The sequence below is a fragment of the Homo sapiens genome, chromosome 19 (genome assembly GCF_000001405.40).
Source record: "Homo sapiens chromosome 19, GRCh38.p14 Primary Assembly".
NCBI classification, from domain to species: Eukaryota; Metazoa; Chordata; class Mammalia; order Primates; family Hominidae; genus Homo; species Homo sapiens.
Window position 1 is genome coordinate 29,716,063 of NC_000019.10, and position 21,336 is coordinate 29,737,398.

General features: G+C 46.3%; 1 long non-coding RNA gene across 1 annotated transcript, besides 4 other annotated features; it reads left to right on the top strand.

The window, feature by feature from the left end:
* Positions 339–558: an enhancer, noted in NCBI's record as "active region_14418". NCBI's record gives its function as "activates an Ori minimal core promoter by ATAC-STARR-seq in GM12878 lymphoblastoid cells {active_cell/tissue: GM12878}" and the evidence as "EXISTENCE:reporter gene assay evidence [ECO:0000049][PMID:35858748]".
* Positions 8,071–20,319, top strand: LOC107985345 (uncharacterized). Its single transcript, XR_001753891.3, has 3 exons — positions 8,071–8,221; positions 8,961–9,016; positions 19,285–20,319. It is a non-coding gene; the product is annotated as an uncharacterized LOC107985345 (long non-coding RNA).
* Positions 12,475–12,669: a silencer, noted in NCBI's record as "fragment chr19:30219444-30219638 (GRCh37/hg19 assembly coordinates)". NCBI's record gives its function as "represses an EF-1alpha promoter that drives an FKBP-Casp9 reporter gene in an ReSE screen in K562 erythroleukemia cells {active_cell/tissue: K562}" and the evidence as "EXISTENCE:reporter gene assay evidence [ECO:0000049][PMID:32094911]".
* Positions 14,630–14,679: an enhancer, noted in NCBI's record as "active region_14419". NCBI's record gives its function as "activates an Ori minimal core promoter by ATAC-STARR-seq in GM12878 lymphoblastoid cells {active_cell/tissue: GM12878}" and the evidence as "EXISTENCE:reporter gene assay evidence [ECO:0000049][PMID:35858748]".
* Positions 14,800–14,849: an enhancer, noted in NCBI's record as "active region_14420". NCBI's record gives its function as "activates an Ori minimal core promoter by ATAC-STARR-seq in GM12878 lymphoblastoid cells {active_cell/tissue: GM12878}" and the evidence as "EXISTENCE:reporter gene assay evidence [ECO:0000049][PMID:35858748]".
* Positions 20,320–21,336: the final 1,017 nt, after the last annotated feature.

The following is a 21,336-nucleotide window of genomic DNA, read 5'->3' on the forward strand; positions in this document are numbered from 1 at the left end:
AAAAAGGAAAAGAACTGGCTTTGCTCTTAGGAGTCTTGGATGGGGACCAAAGCTGAGGCAAGGCAGCCTCTTAGGAAGGTGCAAAGGGCATGAGGCTGGGGTTGCAGAACTGCCTGGGAATACTACTTTATTGAGGCCTGTGGAAAGCTGTCCCTACTCTTGTCATGCAAGGTCTGGCCTTGAACCATCTCAAATCCAAAAGTGGCTTCTGGGGGGCTCTATAGAGAATTAATCCTAACAGGAACCCTGCAAAGCAGGCATGGTTGTCACTGCTATATTACAGATGGGAAGCTCTAAACACAGGCTGCTCTGCCCAAGGCCATCCTGGTTAGAAAGTTTCAGGGCCCAAACTCCAGCCTCGGTCTCGGTATCTCAAAGTCTCCGCCTGTGACCAGCACTCTGCCTGCTTTCCAGGGTGCCATGGGCACCCAGAGGACGGACCCTTTTCCATTTTTAAAAGAATGGAACAAACGCTCTTAATACCAAGCTTCCCCAGGCCTTGGCTGGGATAAAACAACCCCATTTATTCCTGAATCGGAGCTTTTGCTTGAGTTTGGGTGACTTTCAAGAGGGAAAGTGAACTGAGGCCAGGGGAACTCAGCTTGCTGCCTTCCTGGGGCCTGAGTGTGGCGCTCCCGTTTCTCTGCGGGCAGCTCCCTCTGGCGGCACATTGCAGAACTGGCCTGCAGACTCCTCCCCCAGAGATAGTGGGGAAGAGGGCCTGTGTAGGGAAAGATGCTGGGAGTGAAAGAAGCTTCAAAGTCCAGGCCCTCCAGAGAAGGCAAGCATGTAAGAGGTTCATGCAGCCCAGCGCGGTGGCTCACACCTGTAATCCCAGCACTTTGGGAGGCCGAGGCGGGCAGATCACCTGAGGCCAGGACTTTGAGACCAGCCTGGGCAACATGGTGAAACCCCATCTCCACTAAACATGGAAAAATGAGCCAGACATGGTTGGTGCAAGCCTGTAGTCCCAGCTACTCGGGAGGTTGAGGCAGGAGAACCGCTTGGACCCGGCAGATGGAGGTTGCAGTGAGCCGAGATCGCGCCATTGCATGCAAATCTGCAACCCATCAGCCTCCTGGGCCTCATTCTGATACGAATGCAGGCATAACATGACCGCACACTCTGAACCCCAGAGATGGAGCACACAGTGCCTCATGCTCCTAAAGGCAACTGCGGCCTCCTGCACAGTGAGCAAGGCGTGCCGTGGGGTCTCGGTGGTGGCGCGGAAATGGCACTGGCCCAGCACACAGCGATGCTTTATGCTGCTTACAGTGACCTAGGGAAAGTTCTTCCACGTCTCCGTGCCTCAGTTTCCTCATCTGGGAAATGGCAACAAGAGTAGTACTTATCCTATAGGGTTGTTCTCAACATAAAAGGAGGTAATATATATGAATCTAGATTATTCTTGTTTACATTACAGAATGTGAAAATGAGCGGCTTCTCCAAAGTCCCATGAGCCTCATGGGCCCAAGGTAGTGGGAAATCCAGTTCTACCCCCACCTTGACAAAACATTCTCTTGCTGATGGGCCCAACAATGCCCTAGGGTGCTAGGTGGTGTTCACACGGCCAGCCAGAGTCAAAACTCAGACGGGGCCAGCGTTCTATGCCCTCACTTTCTCCCAAAGCTGAGTGCACCAGCTCCTAAAACTTCCATGGCTCCTTCAGGCTAAAGCCACCCACCTAGACCAGGGCTGGATGATCCGCAATGTGGGCCACACCCAAAAACCCTATAGCTTCTTTTGTTGTTTCTTTTTTTTTTTTTTTTTTTTTTTTTTTTTTGAGACGGAGTCTCGCTCTGTGGCCCAGGTGGGAGTGCAGTGGCGCAATCTCGGCTCACTGCAAGCTCCGCCTCCCAGGTTCACGCCATTCTCCTGCCTCAGCCTCCCGAGTAGCTGGGACTACAGGCGCCCGCCACCACGCCCGGCTAATTTTTTTGTATTTTTAGTAGAGACGGGGTTTCACCGTGTTAGCCAGGATGGTCTCGATCTCCTGACCTCGTGATCCGCCCGCCTCGGCCTCCCAAAGTGCTGGGATTACAAGCGTGAACCACCGCGCCCGGCCTGTTGTTTCTTTTTGTTGTTGCTTTGAGACAGAGTCTCCTCTGTTGCCTAGGCTGGAGTACAGTGGTGTAATCTCGGCTCACTGCAACCCCCACCTCCCGGGTTCAAGCAATTCTCATGCCTTAGTCACCCGAGTAGCTGGGATTACAGGTGTGCACCACCATGCCTGGTTAATTTTTGTATTTTTAGTAGAGACAGGGTTTCACCATGTTGGTAAGGCTGGTCTCAAACTCCCGACCTCAGGTGATCCGCCCACCTTAGCCTCCCAAAGTGTTGGGATTACAGGCACGAGCCACTGCACCCAGCCCAAACTTCTCTCTTCTGATTGATAGTCATATTGGATTAAGAGCCCTCCCTAATAACTTCATTTTAACTTGATTACATCTGCAAAGACCCTATTTCCAAATAAGGTCACATTCCCAGTGATGGGGTTAGGACTTCAACACATCTTTATACAATTCAACCCTTAATACCAGGTGTCTTAATCTGTTTTCTACTGCTACAACAGAATGCCACTGACTGAGTAATTTATAAAGAGAAGATATTTATTTGCCTCATAGTTCTGGAGGCTGGAAATTCCAAGATCTAAGGGCCACATCTGGTGAGGGCCTTCTTGCTACATGATAAGATGGCAGAAGTTATCACATAAAGAGGGAGCATAAGAGAGGGAAGAGGGCCACCCTTATTCCTTTATCAAGAGCCCACTCCTGTGATCACAGCATTAATCCACTCATGAGGGCAAAGCCCTCATGACCTCATCACTGCTGAAAGGTTCTCCTAGCAATTTGGGAGGCCAATGCAGATCACCTGAGGTCAGGAGTTTGAGACCAGCCAGGCCAACATGGCAAAACCCCATCTCTATTAAAAATAAAAAAATTAGCCGGGCATGGAGGCACATGCCTGTAATCCCACCTACTCGGGAGGCTGAGGCAGAAGAGTCTCTTGAACTCGGGAGGTGGAGGTTGCAGTGAGCCAAGAAAATGCCACTGCACCCCAGCTTGGGTAACAGGGTAGACTCCATCTCAAAAAAAATATATATATATAAAATATATATCGTATAATATATATAACATATATTATATATTATATAAAATATATATAATATATAAGTTTGGACAAAGATATAGAATTATATAATATATAAGTTTGGACAAAGATATAGAATTATATAATATATAATATAATATATCAGTATATATAATTGTACTATTATATAATTATATATAATTATATATATTATATATATAATTATATATATATAATTTATATATATATAAATATATATATAAATTATATATATATATAATATATATATTTATATATATAATATACATATTTATATATATATTATATATATTTATATATATATTATATTTATATATATTTATATATATTATATATATATTATATATATAATATATAAATATATTTATATAATATAAATATATATATTTATATAATATAAATATATATATTTATATATATATAAAATATATATAATATATAAGTTTGGACAAAGATATAGAATTATATAATATATAAGTTTGGACAAAGATATAGAATTATATAATATATAATATAATATATCAGTATATATAATTGTACTATTATATAATTATATATAATTATATATATTTATATATATTAAATTATATATATATAATTATATATATATAAATTATATATATATATAAATTATATATAATTATATTATATATTATATATATAATATAAAAAATAAATATATAAATATATAAATATTAAATATATAAATATGTATTTATATATTATATATAATTATATATTATATTATTATATATAATTATATATAATACAATATTATATATAATATTTAATATAATATATATCTATCTCACCACAACGGCCATTGAATTTCAACATGAGTTTTAAAGGAAACATGCAAACCCTAGCACGAAGTATTCACCAGATGCCAGCTGTGATTATTATAATCTGAGCACGTGCATAGTACATACATGTCCACCCATGGCACAATAAAAATAACAGCCTTGGGCTGAGCATGGTGGCTCATGCCTGTAATCCCAGCCCTTTGGGAGGCCGAGGCAGGCAGATCACGAAATCAAGAGATCGAGACCATCCTGGTCAACATGGTGAAACTCCGTCTCTTCTAAAAATACAAAAATTAGCTGGGCGTGCTGTAGCGCGCCTGTAGTCTCAGCTACTCGGGAGGCTGAGGCAGGAGAATCGCTTAAATCTGGGAGGCGGAGGTTGCAGTGTGCTGAGATGGCCCCACTGCACTCCGCACACCAGCCTGTGCGACAGAGCGAGACCTCGTCTCAAAAAAATAAAAATAACAGCCTCGGGTTAAGCGCGGTGGCTCACTAGTGTAATTCCAGCACTTTGGGAGGTCACGGTGGGAGAATTACTTCAGACCAGGAGTTCAAGACCAGCCTGGGCAACATAGCAATACCTCATCTTTACAAAAAATTTAAAAATTAGTCGGGCATGGTGGCATGTGTCTGTAGACCCAGCTACTCAAGAGGCTGAGGTGGAAGGATCGCTTGAGCCCAGGAGACTGAGGCTGCATTGCAGTGAGCTGTGATCGTACTGCTACACTTCGCCGGGCAACAGAGTGAGATCCTGTCTCAAAAAAATATTAACAGCCTCGGGCCATGCCTATGTCAAGACTGTTGTGTGCAGGGAAACCATCCTGCCACCTCCCTTCGGTCTTGGGAGAGCTTAATCCTGAAAGGGTTGTGGAAGGACAAGGTGGCTTGGGGACTGGTAATGATCTCTTCCCAGGCTTCATCACTGTTCTTTTAAATAATTAATTCATCTTCTTCCTTGGTGTTTACATCCTTCAAATATTTGTAGATGGTTATCATGTCCCTTTAGTCACCACTTAGCACCACTCTGCATATTTGCTGTCATGTTGAGTGTGTGTTATCATCATTGTCATTATTATTATTATTTCCTCCCAGCTCCCTCCCTCAGTCCCTCAGCCACCATCATCACTCAGTGAATTTCCTCCAGGTTCCCAACCTTTCAAGTACCAGGTTACCCAAGATGGGACATTAAAAGTCAGTAGTGATGACAAGCCCTACTTGTCACAGAGGGCTTGCAGGCCCTCTGGTTCCTCACTAATTCTCATCAGTTTCCCCAAAGCCACAGCAAAAAAAAAAAAAAAAAGACAAACTAAGTAAAAACAGCATGCTTACACTGCAAACACAGCTTCCAGACAAATCCCCCAGCCCCTGCTCCCAAACAGATAATCCTCAATTTTCTCAAATACAAAATCAGGATGAGAATCCCTGCTCTCAACAACCTGGGATTATTGTGAGGATTCAAAGAGGAATAAAAACTGAAAGGTGCTTTGTAAACTATAAAACAGGGAGGGTGGTACTATCAGCAATGCCTTCCACATAGGATGGGATTTCTACAAAATGTTCCAGAGGTCAACTGTTCTAAAAAGCTAAAAATTCTAAGTTAGAATTTACAAATGAACTCGATAGAGCCAAGATTCACCCGAAAATCTGTCTATTGAAAGAATATAAAGAGATGCCCTACTTAAAAATCTACTCATAGATGTTAGTATTCCAAATAAAGTGTGGAACTCAGAGCTGGAGGCTGATGGGGCCTTGGAGTTTACAGATGGCCCTGACGAGACTTTAGAAGGTCAAGCTGCTATAAAAGACTTAAAAAAAATCCACCTTGTCTTGCATTTCAGATCTCACTGAAGAGTTCTTCTGTGCCTGGAAGACTTATTTTCAGTCTGAGAAGAATGATTTTTCAATGGTTCTGTTGAACATGCAATTCTCACGCAAGTATTTCTATAATTATCCTGTTTCAGTTATAATACAGTTTCTGGAACAATAGGACTTTTATTGTATTGCCATATCTGTTATAATAGATGTTTTATTACAGAAAATTATGGTAGAGTCACTATTATGATTCTGAAGTTTTTATTTCAAATTGCTCAGAGGATGCAAATTCTTTCTCCCACTAGTTTTACTTTAAGGCAGCTTTGAATTTGGGGTGGGGGTGGTTTGTCTTTTCTTCTATTGGAGCTTTGGTCTGTTTGAGGTTTTGTTCTATAGCAGAATGTTCTCTTTCGCTCCAGTGTACATAAATGAAGTCACCCATGGTATTTGCTTGTTTGTTAGCCTGTGGTGCACACAATTTTAAAAAGAATGTCACCTAGATTGTCTCTATATATCTGCAAAATTTCTTTCATTATTGCTGGAGAAGTCTCCATAACCCTGGTATTAATTTTTTTTGAGATGGAGTCTCACTTTGTCTCCCAGGCTGGAGTGCAGTGGTGCAGTCTCGGCTCACTGCAACCTCTGCCTCCCAGGTTCAAGAAATTCTCTTACCTCAGCCTCCCTAGTAGTTGGGACTACAGGTGTGTACCACCATGCCTGGCTAACTTTTTATTTTTTATTTTTTTAGACGAAGCCTCGCTCTGTCACCCAGGCTGGAGTGCAGTGACACAATCTTGGCTCACTGCAACCTCTGCCTCCCAAGCTCAAGCAATTTCTGGCAAATTTTTGTATTTTTAGTAGGGACGGGGTTTCGCCATGTTGTCCAGGCCGGTCTTGAACGCCTGACATCAAGCGATTTGCCCTCAAGTGACCCACCCACCTTGGCCTCCCAAAGTGCTGGAATTACAGGCATGAGTCACGGCACACGGCTGACAAACTATATTTTGAGAAGGTAAATACTAGTGATCATGAAACACTAATACTAGTGATCATGAAAACAGAGGAGCTGAAACTTCTAGGCACATTCAGGCTAGGTCACATCCTATTTCAGGTGGTAGCTCCACCTTGAAAAGCAGGGGGCTGGAGATTTTCTTGGTTAAATTAGAGGCTGCAGACACCCGCAGCTGCTAGAGGCAGAGCTGGGATTCAGGAATGGGCTTGCTGACTCCAACAGTGAAGGTCTTCCCCTCCAAGAGACCCCACCCGTGGGGAAGGGTGACCCTCAAATCTTGGACATCAGGTCCAACTTTCGGCCCAGTTGACTTTTCCACAAAGGAAGGATTTCAGGGCTCTGAGAAGTCCCAGAATATCTGCCCACAGCAATCTAGCATCATCAGAACCCACCTTCACGTGTAGCCACCGTGTCTCCATGTTCCTGGTAATGCACGCTCCCAGGCTCAGAGTCTGGAACTGCTGATGGAGGGGCGGGTTCTGGGCCCTGCAAAGAACCGAGGCTCCGCAGTCACAGTCTTCGATTAGACAGAGCCCCTCCAGTTCTCAGACGATTTCTTAGGCTACCCCGAAAATAGAGAGAGGAAGGGACCTGCCCTTGATCACACTGTCAGTAACACAATCAGAACAGAAATCTAGGGCTCTTGGCCTTCAAGCCTCTGTTCTTCGCTTAACACACGGCTGGCAGAGATGGGGAGACCTGAGAGGGCCCTGAGGGTGAGGGCATTTGCACTGGGTGCAGAGCGCCTTTGGAAGGCAGGGAAGTCCAGGAAGGTAAACACACACACACGTTGTAAATATGGCGAAAATCAGAGAGGAGGAAATGTCAGGGACTCCTCCAGCACGGAAAACATCCTGATAGTTTGGAGCGCCGGGAAGAGTGGGCACCTTGGAATCTGCAAGGCATTCTTTTGCGTTTCACCTGCAGTGGGGTGGGGTCTCTGGGGTCTGCCCTCCCTCCTACTCTACATGCATTACCCATCTTATAGCCGGGCCGTCCCTGCAAAATTCCAGCTGCATGGGGGAACCACACTTCTGACTTCAGAATGAAACCAGTGTTTTGCACACATTCATTCCTCAGTCCCCTTGCTGGGACCCTTCTCTGTTATGAAAGCAGAGATCCCACCCGAATAGGGTGACTTTGGGGCGATGGATTACCTTTGGCAGGTCCTGTGGGTCAGGAATTTAGGGGTGCAGCGTGGGCCCACAGCATACCCAGTAGCCAAGGAAGACCCTCCCCTACCCGAGGCTCAAGCAGGCGCCAGGCCCCAAACCCTCACTCCTCTCTGGTCTAAATCCCCGCCGTAGGATTTTATTTTTCGGTGCTGAGGTGCTTTGCTGGAGGAGCTGCCAGGGGGAGCTGCGCGGGGCAGGCCCGGGGTACCAGAGGCCCTTGCTTTAGCGGCGGCCCTGCGTGTGCCAGAGGCTTGCAGAGTGATCTGAGCACGCCAAGAGATTGCTGTCAAGTAAGCTCCTCCACAAATCTGCAGAAACCTCAAAGATTACAGCGCTCGCACGGCAGGAGCGCAGCGGCTTCCCATACGCCGGCAGACAATGGGGCGGAGGAAGGAAGGGGACGGTGGCCTGGGGACCCCCGCGCCCGCAGCACGTGCACCGAGCCTGGAGCGCCCGCTTTACAGATCTTGTCGCTCCACCCCTAAAACAAAGGCCCCGGGGCCCCATCTGTGCCGGGCGCGGGGGAGGGCGCCGCACTTGCTGCCCGCCGCGTGCAAAGCGAGCCAGACAAAGGGCTCAGCCCTGCAGACGCGAGCAGTGGGGAAATAATTAAGCACTAAGGAAATATTGTATGTGGATTTGAGACCAACGGGAAACGCGCTCCCAAACAATGCTCGTTGTTTGCACCGAGCCGCTTTTCTGCTAAGTTTCATCAAGTAATTTGCATGCCATTTCAATAAAATTAACGAATTATGGTCGAGTTTTTTGTTTTATTGACCTAAAATAAAAATCTTCCTTTCCTTTATTATTGAAATAATTCGCCCCCCATCCCCCCCGGCTCCCATCCTCTGGGAAGGCTGCACAGCGCGCCAAGGAAATCTGTCCTCCCAGCCAGACCCCAGCGGCCTTTCTGCTGCGCTCCACAGCTAACTCCCCGGAAACCCTGCGTTTATTCTGGCTGCCCCCTTTGACTGTGGCAATAAATAGAACTTCAACCCTCTCACTTTCTTATGCCTGCTTTTCTTACAGTGAAAGCACCAGATTTCCGCGTAGGAGGGACTCGGGGGCAACGATGCAATTGGAAGGTAAGGGGCTTCTCTTAAAGCTGCATTTGCAAAGCGAGCACACTGTTTGCTAAGGTTTTATATTGCATCTTTTAAAAAAGATAATGTGGGGCCTGGCATCGTGGCTCACACCTGTAATCCCAGCACTTTGGAAGGCCTAGGAGTTCAAGACCAACCTGGGTAACATAGTGAGACCTCGTCTCTACAACAGATTTAAAAATTAGCCGGGTGTGGTAGCCTGTGCCTGTAGTCTCAGCTACTTGGGAGGCTGAGGCAGGAGGATCACTCGAACCCAGGAGTTTGAGGCTGCAGTGAGCTATGATTGCATCACTGCCCTCCAGCCTAGGAGACATAGCAAGACCCCATTTCTTTAAAAAAAAAAAAAAAGACTAAGAAATCATCACTAATTGGTATTATTAAGGAACAACATCAGTATCACTGTAGTTGTTATTTATTGCTGCATATCAAATGCAAAACTTAGTGGCTTAAGACCAATGTCCTCTCTCACAGCTCCCAAGGGTCAGGAATTTGAGAGTGCTGTAGCTGAGCGGTTCTAGATTGGGCCCTCTCTTGAGGCTGTAGTCATCTGAAGGGGTGCTTGGGCCTGGTGATGTGCTTCCCAGAGGACCACTTTCTCATGTGGCTGGGCTGTTGGCCATGAGGCCTGAGTGCCTCAGCATGTGGGGCTCTCCACAGGCTGTTCCAATGTCCTCTTGATGAGGAAGCTGGCATCCTCCAGAGGGAAGGATCCAAACAACCAAGCAGAAGCCACAGCGTCTTCATGATCTGGCTTAAAGGTTGCACACCATCACTGCAACACCCCTACACATTCGTCCATGTGGCTGGGACTGCACAGAGGCATGAAGGCTGGTAGGCATGGATCACTGGGTCCAACTCAGAGACTGGTTACCATGAGTGATTATCATTAATATGATTTGGTAGGGCTGTTGCAAGTGCCTGGAGGAGGAGAGTATTATACAGCTAAAGCCATCATTTCTTGTCTTTCTAGTCAATGCAAACAAAAGTGGTCAGTTACCTTTAATGGTATTCCCAGACAACAAACATGGACTCAGGGCCTTCCCAGTGCCAGCTCCCCCTTCAGACTGGGGAATAGAACAGTAGCCAAGAGAGATAAGGTCCCCTTCTGGCATCCCTGACTTTTCAGAGAAAGAAAACGTAAGTGTATGCATGAACACAGCAACCAGAGCTACAATACTATCGAGACAGTGCTGCCAAATGGGAAGTACAGGCCAGGTTTGGTGGCTCACGCCTGTAATCCCACCACTTTGAGAAGCTGGGGTGGGAGGATCGCTTGAGGCCAGGAGTTCAAGACCAGACTGGGCAACATAGAGAGCCGTCACTACAAAAATAAAAAATTAGCTGGATATGGTGGCGCACATCTGTAGTCCCAGCTACACAGGAGGCTGGGGCAGGAGGATCGCTTGAGTCCAGGAGCTCAAGGCTGTGATGAGGTATGATCGTGCCATTGCACTCCAGCCTGGATGACAAAGCAATTTAAAAAAAAAGAGGGAAAGTCAGGGAGGAGACTAAGCTCTGAGTGCCAAGGTTGGAGGTCTGTACACCCTGGTCCTCCCTAAATTGCAAATCTGAAATGTCCCAGGCATTGCAGATTTCCTGCAAGCCAAACCTGTTAGTAGAACAACAGACAAAAAATAAGATTTTTTTTTTTTTTTTTTTGAGAAGGAGTCTCACTCTGTCGCCCAGGCTGGAGTGCGATGGCTGCGATCTCAGCTCACTGCAACCTCTGCCTCCCGGGTTCAAGCAATTGTCCTGCCTCAGCCTCCCAAGTAGCTGGGATTGCAGGCACCCGCCACCATGCCAGACTAATTTTTCGTATTTTTAGGAGAGACAGGATTTCACCATGTTGGTCAGGCTGGTCTCAAACTCCTGACCTCAAGTGATCCACTCGCCTCTGCCTCCCAAAGTGCTGGGATTACAGGCGTGAGCCACTGTGCCTGTTTTGATATTGTCACACTTTCATGGAATACCAACACTCCCCCTTCCCAGAAGGCAGGCTCCACAAGGGAGGAGGCTGTTATGTCTTATTTATCCCTGTAGCTCTCATGCCCGGAATGATTGGTACATAATTGGTATCACTAATGACTGTCATTAATAATAATTATCTAATGGCTATCAGCCTTGTTGGTGTCCCCAAGTCTTTCAGGTTTAATGGACGTCCCCCTTAACATTAACAAATAAAAGTGATTTAAGCCCTCAGTCTACTTACAGTGAAACATGAGAACTACAGATGAAATCCTCAGCGCCCCCCAACCAACTGAACAGACCCCCTCTTGGCCAAGGGGACCCCAGAGGAAACTTAACCACAGAGTTCCCAGCCATGATGGGAAGGGAGGTCAGACACACCCCGCTCTACCCACTCCCTTTTGTGGCTTAAACACAAATGAGCAGCATTCATGTTAAAATAGAGGTCATGGTGGTCGCAGTGGCTCACGCCTGTAGTCCCAGCACTTTGGGAGGCTGAGGTGGGAGGATCAACTGTGGTCAGGAGTTCGAGACCAGCCTGGCCAACATGGTGAAACCACTTCTCTACTAAAAATACAAAAATTAGCCGGGTGTGTGGGTGCCTGTAATCCCAGCTACTCAGGGGGCTAAGGCAGGAGAATTGCTTGAACCTGGGAGGTGGAGGTTGCAGTGAGCCGAGATCACGCCACTGTACTCCAGCCTGGGTGATGGACTGAGACCCTGTCTCTAAAAAATAAAAATAAAATAGAGGTCATAAGACTGGCAGAATGGACTCTGTGACAGTAAGATACCAAATCATAACCAGGACCTAAGGGCCATATCAGGGAAGGGTTAAGTCACACACCCCTACACTTAAAGAATAAACTAGTTTCCAGCTGCCGCAAGGGGTTTCTTTTTCTCTAGCAGCTAAACAAGCCAATGGCTTGGAGATAGGTAATATTAAAACAATTGCAGTTCGCCCGCTGCCAGACACTAACTGACCCTCGTTCCACCAGCCAGAACTGCAGCTTTGATTGGACAAGAGGCTGATTCAGTAACTTTCTCCTGATAAGAGACCACTGACCATGGCCTGGTTCTGCCCATTTACAGAGGCTGTGCAATGCCTTCATGTCCCTGATTCACCTTTTGACGTCTACAGCCCGATTGTAATACACTTAAATGTGTATTCTCCACTCCAAGGTGAACATGGGATGTGTGTAACATGCATGTTTGCTTATCACACATGTGTATGGCCTCCTTCCAAGAATATTCATAGCTCTTCCTATATCCCGTTGAATATGTATACCTGGCCAACCCATTCAGCTTGAATTCCTGTCTTATCCCCTCCCACCCTTCCTCAAAGTGCCTGCCTATTGGCTTCTACTGGAGACTACACTTCTTAGCCAGTCAGGGTGGCTGCCTTGCAGGTTGTAACTCTATATGAGAAATAAAGCCCTCCTTTTCTAAATGATTTTTAATTATTTTAAATGAGTGATTTTTAAGCTAGCAGACACCAGCCCGGAATCTCTAAAGGTTGCTGAGAGAGGTGGTAAGAGCCACCTGTGCGTTTCTCCTGATCAGGAGCCTCTAAAGCCTGATTCTTCAGGGTTCGCCTCCTCGCCTCCCTCCTCAGCTCCTCCAGCCCTCCCTCTGTTCAGTGTGCCTGGCCCAAATGAACTGGGAGCTCCAGACCTTCTCGGGGACTTCCCCAAAGTCTCTATAACACAAGGTGTTGGTGCCACAGACTTTGACTGTTGGGTCTACAGTGGCCAGTGAGGGTTCAATGTAGCGGCGTGGCTCACCAGGTGCCTGGAAGGGAATATTGAGACCTCCTGGTTCTTGAGAGTTACTTGGGCCCAGCCAGGCTCTCAGCATCTTACAGGGTCTCCTGCTACTCTCTTATCTGTGGACCAGCCTCTTCCTGGACTCCTTTTCCCATATCAGGGACAATAAAACACTCACCCACTCCAGGCCACAGCTTTTGGGGTCCAGAGCTCTGAACTAACACCTTATGTTTAGTGAGGTCAAATTTTTAGGCTTAGTGCCCATCTTTCTTCTACTTAGTTTTATTTTAAATTATTTTTTAGAAACAGGGTCTCACTGTGTCACCCCGGCTGGAGTGCAGTGGTATAATCATAGCTCACTGCAGCCTGGAATTCCTGGAATCAAGTGATCATCCCACCTCAGCCTCCTGAGTAGCTGGGACTACAGGTGCATGCCACCACACCTGGCTAATTTTTAAATTATTTTTAGAGACAGAGTCTCCCTGTATTGCCCAGGCTAGTCTTGAACTCCTGGCCTCCTGCCTTGGCCTCCCGAAGTGCTGGGACTACAGGCATGAGCCACCACACCCAGCCCCACTCTTCTAAGTGGAGGGAAGGTTTAGTCTGCCCCCGTAACGAATTATGCAACACTCTTTCCCCCTTAGAACATACAAGCACTCTGGTCAAAGTTTCTGAGATTTTATTTTAGGAGCATTTTTCATTTTGGCTAAACATAGACATATATACCCACAAGACTGCCGGTTAAAACAAATAAAATATCATCTTGAGGAAACAAGCACATCTTGAGTAAGTTTCTTTCAAGATGTTTTGGTGCATTCTATGCTATCACTTTGCAGAACAATTTGTTGTCCATGCGGTAACTTTAGGGGCTGTCTGAGATGGTCTGTTCCTAAAAGACTGTGGATGGGAGAGGTGACAGTAAATCCTGGAGAGTGGAGTGAATCCCAGCCATTCTGTGGACAGGTGGGCTGAGGGAGAAGTTCAGAGGGCACTCTAGAGTGATTTGCAACGTCTCAAACAGAAATATAACATCTTCTTTCATCCTCTGCAGAGTCTGGAGCTAAATTCACACCTTTTTTTCCCCTTCCCTCACTTAAAATCAAATTCTCGCCCTTAATACTTCCTTTCAGAACTGCACCGAAAATGACGATGTCTTCTCATGCATATGAATTATCCAAAGTGTAGGAAGATGCGCCCCCACTGGAGTACGCTGAAGCCTTTAACCCAAGTACATTTAATGCTGCGAAGCCCCGAGTGAGGCAAAGGTGTCTTTTTATTTTAGAAGACATTTAGGACAGTTCATGTCACTCTGCACAGATGCACTGAAATTGATTGTGGGGCAAACTATAAAGAGAGCTTATGCTCCCCAAATCTGTTTCCGAGCCAGGTAGGATGATGAATTCTGAGGTGGGACTGAGGGGGAACGGTGGCAGCTCTCTCCCCTGCACGCACCGGCCAACTACTTCCCCGTTTGGACATTGGCGTGACACCCTCCTTCCCTGTTCATCTGTGAAAATGTGCAGCGTTTTCATTTAAAACCTCCTGCTCCAACATGGGGCCTTCTGCAGACCGCAGGGACCCCCAACAATTACTTGTTGGAAGAACAAATGAAGCATAAAGCATGATACTTTATTTTAAACATACAGGTGGCACAAATTTATTTCCAAAGATTTAAGCACCTGATGACTTCTCCTTAGAGAAAAAGCAATAAAAGGAGCCTCTTCTGTCACAAATTTCCACTTAGCATGGTTTGTGCAGAGGCAGAATTTCAGGCTTTTACCACTGAGCTCTGGACATGAAGCAAAGCTAACACTAGAGGGTGCTATAGATTAGGAAATCCAGGGACCATGGGCGCCGGAGCGCGTTCAAGACGCTGCCCTCCCGATTGTAACCTAACAAACTGAGCGTGTCACTTTGCCAGAATTTACCCCTTCACCATTTCTGCTATGATGAAATTATCCAGATATGTTTAATTTGAAATTTTAACTTAGTCTGTGATTATGTGGAATTTCAACACTGGCTGTGGCCCAGTGCAGTGGCTCACTCACACCTGTAATCCCAGTGCTTTGGGAGGCCAAGTCTGGTGGATAATTTGTGGTCAGGAGTTCGAAACCAGCCTGGCCAACATGGTGAAACCCTGTCTCTCCTAAAAATACAGAAATTAGCCTGGTGCCTGTAATCCCAGCTACTCGGGAGGCTGAGGCAGGAGAATTGCTTGAACCCTCAGGAGGCAGAGGTTGCAGTGAGCCGAGATCACGCCACTGCACTCCAGTCCTGTCTAAAAAAAAAAAAAAAAAAAAAAAGGACTGAGCCCAGGTCTGTAGGATAGACACTTTGTGTTTGTATCTTAAGTACTTTGCGATCTCACCCTTACAAACCTGATACTAAATTCCACTTACCTACTTCAGTCCTTCTCTGAGGGAAGGTGGAGTTTGGAGGCAATTTTAGGAAGCAGGATGAGGAAACAGGGAAGGTGACACAGTGAAGGACAAGCCAACACAAGGGTGGATTACCAAGGCTGGTCCCCTCTACAGGCACCCAGGGCTCGGTCCCACGCGGACTGCTGAGTAGACAGAAGACCTTTCAGAATCTTCTGCCTCTCCCCCATTTGCTGAGAGTTCCCTGGGAACGGTAACCCCCGTACCTTCGGGCTGAACATATGTTTGCATGCTGAATGGGCTCTTTCTGCCATCCCATGCCACAGCATTCAGGAAGCCCTGGGGCCAAAGCAAACAGCATGCTTGAGGCAAGGTGCTGTGAGGCCCAAATGAGCTGAAGCTTGCACAAAACTGCTCACCACTGCCATAGCTGAATCAGCGGAGGCCAGGAGGATGCGAGGCGGTGCCCGTGATTGTCTGATCATCTCCCTCTTGGACCGCTGAGACTCAGGCATGCCCTGCATCAAATCCAACCTGTCACCAGGTCTTCAAGGGGGAGGCCTGCGGAAATCCTACTGTGAATGAAACTACAGTTGCTATTCATCGTCTCCCTCCTGCACCTACCACTCCAGATGTCCCTCACTCTTGGCCAGCACTTTGGCTTGTTTAAGTTGTGTGCCAGGTGAGGTGACCACACCTTCCCCCCTGCAGTTTCTGAGTCTTTCCTGAGCTTTGTCTTGGTTGGCCCTTGGCTGCTGTGACTGCCTATTTTATCTAATTGCAGGTTCAAGATTCACCAAGAAGGCAGGGCGCAGTGGCTCACATCTGTAATCCCAGCACTTTGGGAGGCTGAAGCAGGCAGATCACTTCAGCCCAGGAGTTTGAGACCAGCCTGGGCAACAGAGCAAGACCCCATCTCTAAAGAAAAATAATTATTCAGGTGTGGTGGCACATGCCTGTAGTCCCAGCTACTCAGGAGGCGGAGGTGGGAGGATCGCTTGAGCCCAGGAGGTTGAGGCTGCAGTGAGCCGTGATTGCACCATTGCACTCTAGCTGGGCAACAGAGCAAAACCCTGTCTCCAAAAATAATAAGTAAATAAATAAATAAGATACTAAGAGACAGCCCAGTGACTCTCCTGAGTCCCAAACATACTCATCCATCCCTCATGGAGAAACAACTCTATCTCCTTGCAATAATCAGAACTAGTTTCTCCTGCCAGTTTAATCAGTACTTTTTTTATTGCAGTAAAATACACACAACATAAAATGTGCCACTTTAACCATTTTATTATTATTATTATTATTATTATTATTATTAAGACGGAGTTTCACTCTTGTTGCCCATGCTGGAGTGCAGGGGCGCGATCTTGGCTCACTGCAACTTCCACTTTCTGGGTTCAAGCGATTCTCTTGCCTCAGCCTCCGGAGTAGCTGAGATTACAGGCACACGCAGCCATGCCCAGCTAATTTTTGTATTTTTAGTAGAGACGGGGTTTCACCATATTGGTCAGGCTGGTCTCAAACTCCTGACCTCAGGTGATCCACCCACCCCTTGGCCTCCCAAAGTGCTGGGATTACAGGCGTGAACCACCATGCCCAGCCCATTTTAACCATTTTTAAATGTTCATTCAGTGGCCTGAGTTATATGAACATTGCTGGACAACCATTGCTACTATGTATTTCCAAAACTTTTTAATTGCCTTAAACAGAAGCCTTGTAACCATTAAGCAACACCTCCCCATCCCCTCTCCCCTCAGCCCCTAGTAATCACTAGCCTACTTTCTCTGCTACTTTGTCTCTTGTAGATGTTTCAAACAAGTAGAATGATATGATACTTGTCCTTTTGAAACTGACTTATTTTACATAGTATAGTGTTTTCAAGGTCCATCCATGTGGTGCATGTATTAAAGCTTCATGCACTTTTATGGCTGAATAATGTTCCATTGTATGTACAAGGCGTGCCACATTTTGTTATTCATTCACCTGTTAATGGCAACTTGGCTTGTTTCCACTTTTGGGCCCTTGTGGATAATGCTGCAGTGAACATCAGCATGGATGTCTCTGAGTCCTGCTTTCAGTTCTTCAGGGTATATGCCTAGCAGTGGAGTAGCTGATTCTATGTTAATTCTATGTTTAATTTTTTGAGAAACTGCCATATTGTTCTCCAGGCTGGCTGCACCATTCCACATTCCCACTAACCGTGCACAAAGATTCCAATTTCTTACCAACACACTCTCATCAATACATGTTATTTTTAGTTTATCGTGTTTTCATTTTTCTTTTATTAATATATAGCAGGCATTCTAATGGGTGTGGGGTGGTATCTCATTTTGGTTTTGATCTGCATTTTCCTAGTGTTTAGCGATGTTGAGTATACTTTCCTGTGGTCATTTGTATATTTTCTTTGGATGTGTATCTGTTCAAATCCTTTACTCATTTTTAATTGAGTTGTCTTTTTGTTATTGAGTTGTAGGAGTTCCTTATATATTCTTGATTTTAAAACTTTATCAGATATATGATTTGCAGATATTTTCTCCCATTGCATCGGTTGTTTTTTCAGTTTCTTGATAATGTCCTTTCATGCACAAAAGTGTTTAGTTTTGATGAATTCCAATTTGTCTCTTTTTCTTTCTTTGCTCATGTTTTTGGTGTCGTATCTGAGAATCCATTACCAAATCCAAGGTCGTGAAGATTTACCTATATGTTTTCTTGTAAGAGTTCTGATGTTTGTCATTGATCCATGCTGAGTTAACATTTATACCGTATAATGTAGGGGCTACCTCTTCATTCTTTTGCATGTAGAAACTCCGTTATCCTAATTGTTGCTAATTGCCTCTGGCCCACTGACTTGAGAAGCCCAAGAGGACCAGGGAGTATTTGTATTTTCAAGTTCTGTAGAATTGGTGATGTTCCCTGGTGGAGGAGTCCACTCTCCGCTCCTCCTCCCCCATCAAGAACTAAGACGTCGAATTTGCTAGAGCCCCACCCAAAGCTGTGGACACAGGAAGCACACATTTCTCAAGGTGGTCTCTGCGAGTGATGGTGAGAGCAGCCGATCTCACTCCCCCCGCCACCCCCTGGGTTTCCAGCCCCATGTCTTTCTGCTTTTGGGATCATAGCACCATGTGTCTGCTCTTGGTAAGGCACGTACACCACAGTTTCAAGGATAGTATCCCAATTATACAGGGTGTGGGCTCACGCTTTCACCCTGGCATAGCCTTGGCACAGGTCATCCTGATGTTCTTGTAGGCCTGCTGCTTCCAGAGGAACCTTGGAGCCATAGCTTCTTTGCTGTAAAACAGACCCCTTGGCTTGAGGCAGTGTTGTTCAAATCCCCTGCCAATAAATCAGAGACGACCGTAAGTGCTCTGTTGGTGATGCCAGTGAAGGCACTGTTGCAAGGAAGGAAAATCCATATCCAGAGTCGGTGTTCACTCTGCTAGGACTCATCGCTGTCTCATCAATGACAGAAGGGGTCTCATATAATGAACTTTGCACTGTGACTGCCTGATCTCCTTGTGAAATGGTGCCATCTTGAGGGCTCATTATTAGTCCATGTGGTTGGCAGGTAGGGCATTCAGTAGCGGCAGCAGCCAGGTCATCTCTAGCAAGAGGGAACTTGTGTTGGGCTCATGCCTCCCTTGACTTTTGCCACCATGGCCACACCATTCATGGAACTATCTATTTCCCCTGCCGTGGGGTGGCTGATGCTGGCTGATGCCCAGAGGATGAACCATCCTGTCCACCCAGTTGCTAGGTGCCTCCTCTGCAGGAGAGGCTTTTTGGCAGACCTTAACGTAAGTCCAATGATTGGCACGCTAGTGCCATTTCCATAGGTCAGTAGTACTGATTTTTCCTTTTGTCTCAGACACCAATATGGCTCGGCACAGCAGTTACTGATCCTGTCTCTATTTGAAATTTTAATATTTTGCTCATCATGGATTTTTGTATTAATTTTAACTCTTTAAAATATTGCATTAACATATTATGCATCTTCATGTTATTATTATTCCTCTTCAGCTTCCCAAAGTGCTGGGATTACAGGCTGAGCCACTGTGCCCAGCTCAAATGCATTATTTTCACTGCTGATGTGTTGCTGTTGTGTCCTCCCAATCTATGGCTTAATGGGTCTCACTGTAATCAGTTCCAGGAACAAAGTCACTCACTGTCCTGTGGGTAGTCTCCGAGTCTCTGCGAGGACCCACTGCACGGCAGGAGCTAGTCTCAGACTGAGGTGAGTTCTCGGCAGCAGAAGGCACCACCGCACTCCCAAGGGCTAAAGGTTTACCCTGCACCTCTCCTACTGAAGCTTGCAGAGGGTTGGCATGGCAGCCTTCTTCATCATAGGAGACTCTAAGACTGCTACTTTTGGCTCCTCTGGGTTGTGCAGCTTGAGTGGAAGAGCAGATCCTCTCACAGCCTAGACCTCCTGGCCAGCCGTTTCTTGCCCTAGACTCCACTCCGAGTGGCAGTCTCCCAAGCTGTCTAATAGGCGTATGGGAGAAGTATCAGCAAGTATGCTACTTCTAATGTCCCAGGTGGTGCACCCAGCACTGTGCCTCTTCCCTAGTGCAGCTGAAGGAAAGCTGCCACTGCCTGTGCCTTCCTTTACAAGGGTTGTCCTGGCATGTGTCAGACCACTGGGTCCCCTAACAACCTTGCCAATGTGCCAGTCCTCTGAATGTTTCTGGGCTTTAGCCCCTGCCCTTGGCTTGCACGTGTCTTCTTCCTAGGACATCCGGGGTGCTTGTGTCATATGCTGGTAGCATAATGTCATCAACAGTGCACCAGTGTGCTGTGCAAACTATCCCGAGACAGCCTGTATGCATGCAAAGTATGCTCAAAAGTACCCAAGGCCGAGGCGTGGCAGCTCATGCCTATAATTCCAGCACTTTGGGAGGCTGAGACTGGTGGATCACTTAAGCCTAGGAGTTTGAGACTAGCCTGAGCAAAATAGTGAGACCCTATCTCAACTGAAAACAAAAAAAGAAAAAGAAAAAGAAATTAGCTAGGTGTGGTGATATGCGCCTGTGGTCCCAGCTACTGGGAGGCTGAGGTGGGAGAATTCATTGAGCCCTGGAGGCTGAGGCTACAGTAAGCTGTGACTGCACTATTGCACTCCAGCCTGGATGACACAGCAAGACTCTGTCTCAAAATAAATAAATTTATTTATTAATACCACATCAATCGGTATTTCCCGATTTTCATAATTGAACTGTGGTTGTATAAGAGAATGCCCGTGGCCAGGCGCAGTAGTCCCTGCTACTTGGGGGTTGAGACAGGCGAAACCCCGTCTCCACTAATAATATAAAAATTAGCAGGTCATGGTGGCACATGCCTGTAATTCCAGTACTCAGGAGGCTGAGGCAGGAGAATCGCTTGAACCTGGGAGGTGGAGGTTGCAGTGAACCAAGTTTGTGCCACTGCACTCCAGCCTGGACAATAGTGTGAGACTCCGTCTCAAATAAAAATAAAAATAAAAGAAGTTGCCTGGCTTAGTTGTGCTTACTGGACTCAGAGCCCCACATGGAGTCTGCTGACCTGTCTTGGGATTGAAGGGTGATAGGTGAGAAGGATGGAGAATTTGTAAAGGGCCGGCAGTCTCCCTGATCTGTCTCTTCTAATTTTGTAGTCGGACTCCTCCTATTTGGTTCCTGGGCGACCTTCAGTTCTTGAATTTTAGGGTTCCAAACAACAAGTGTTAAGTGAAGTTTGGGGCCTTTTAAAAGGTGTCAGTGCTTGAAATTTGAGACAATAATAATAGCTGCCATCTTACGGTGAGTTTGTCAGCTCTGGGTTGTGAATTTTATGTCTGTGACTGCATCTCATCTCATTGATGTAAAAAGTAAAATTAGTTTTGCCAAGTACTGCCTTCAGTCATTGGAGGTTGGATTTCCCTGTTTCCAACTCTTAGGGAGTCTCTACTGGGGCCAGTGTGTCAGCATCACCTTGGCCCCTTCTATACCTTAATGCCCTCGCTGAAGGGTAAGCTGGGATCCCTTTGGCCCCACGAAGCATTAAAGCCTTCATGTCCTCTCATCAACACACCCCATTCCAGGGCTTCTGTGCCTCCCCAGCCTCCATGTCCCGTCCCCGGGGCCTCGAGAGCTGCTGATGCTTCTCTACACCCCCTCAGAGGGCTGCAGGGAACTGGGGTGGGTGTGCCCCTGTCTTTCCTGCCCAGGCTAATCCGCCT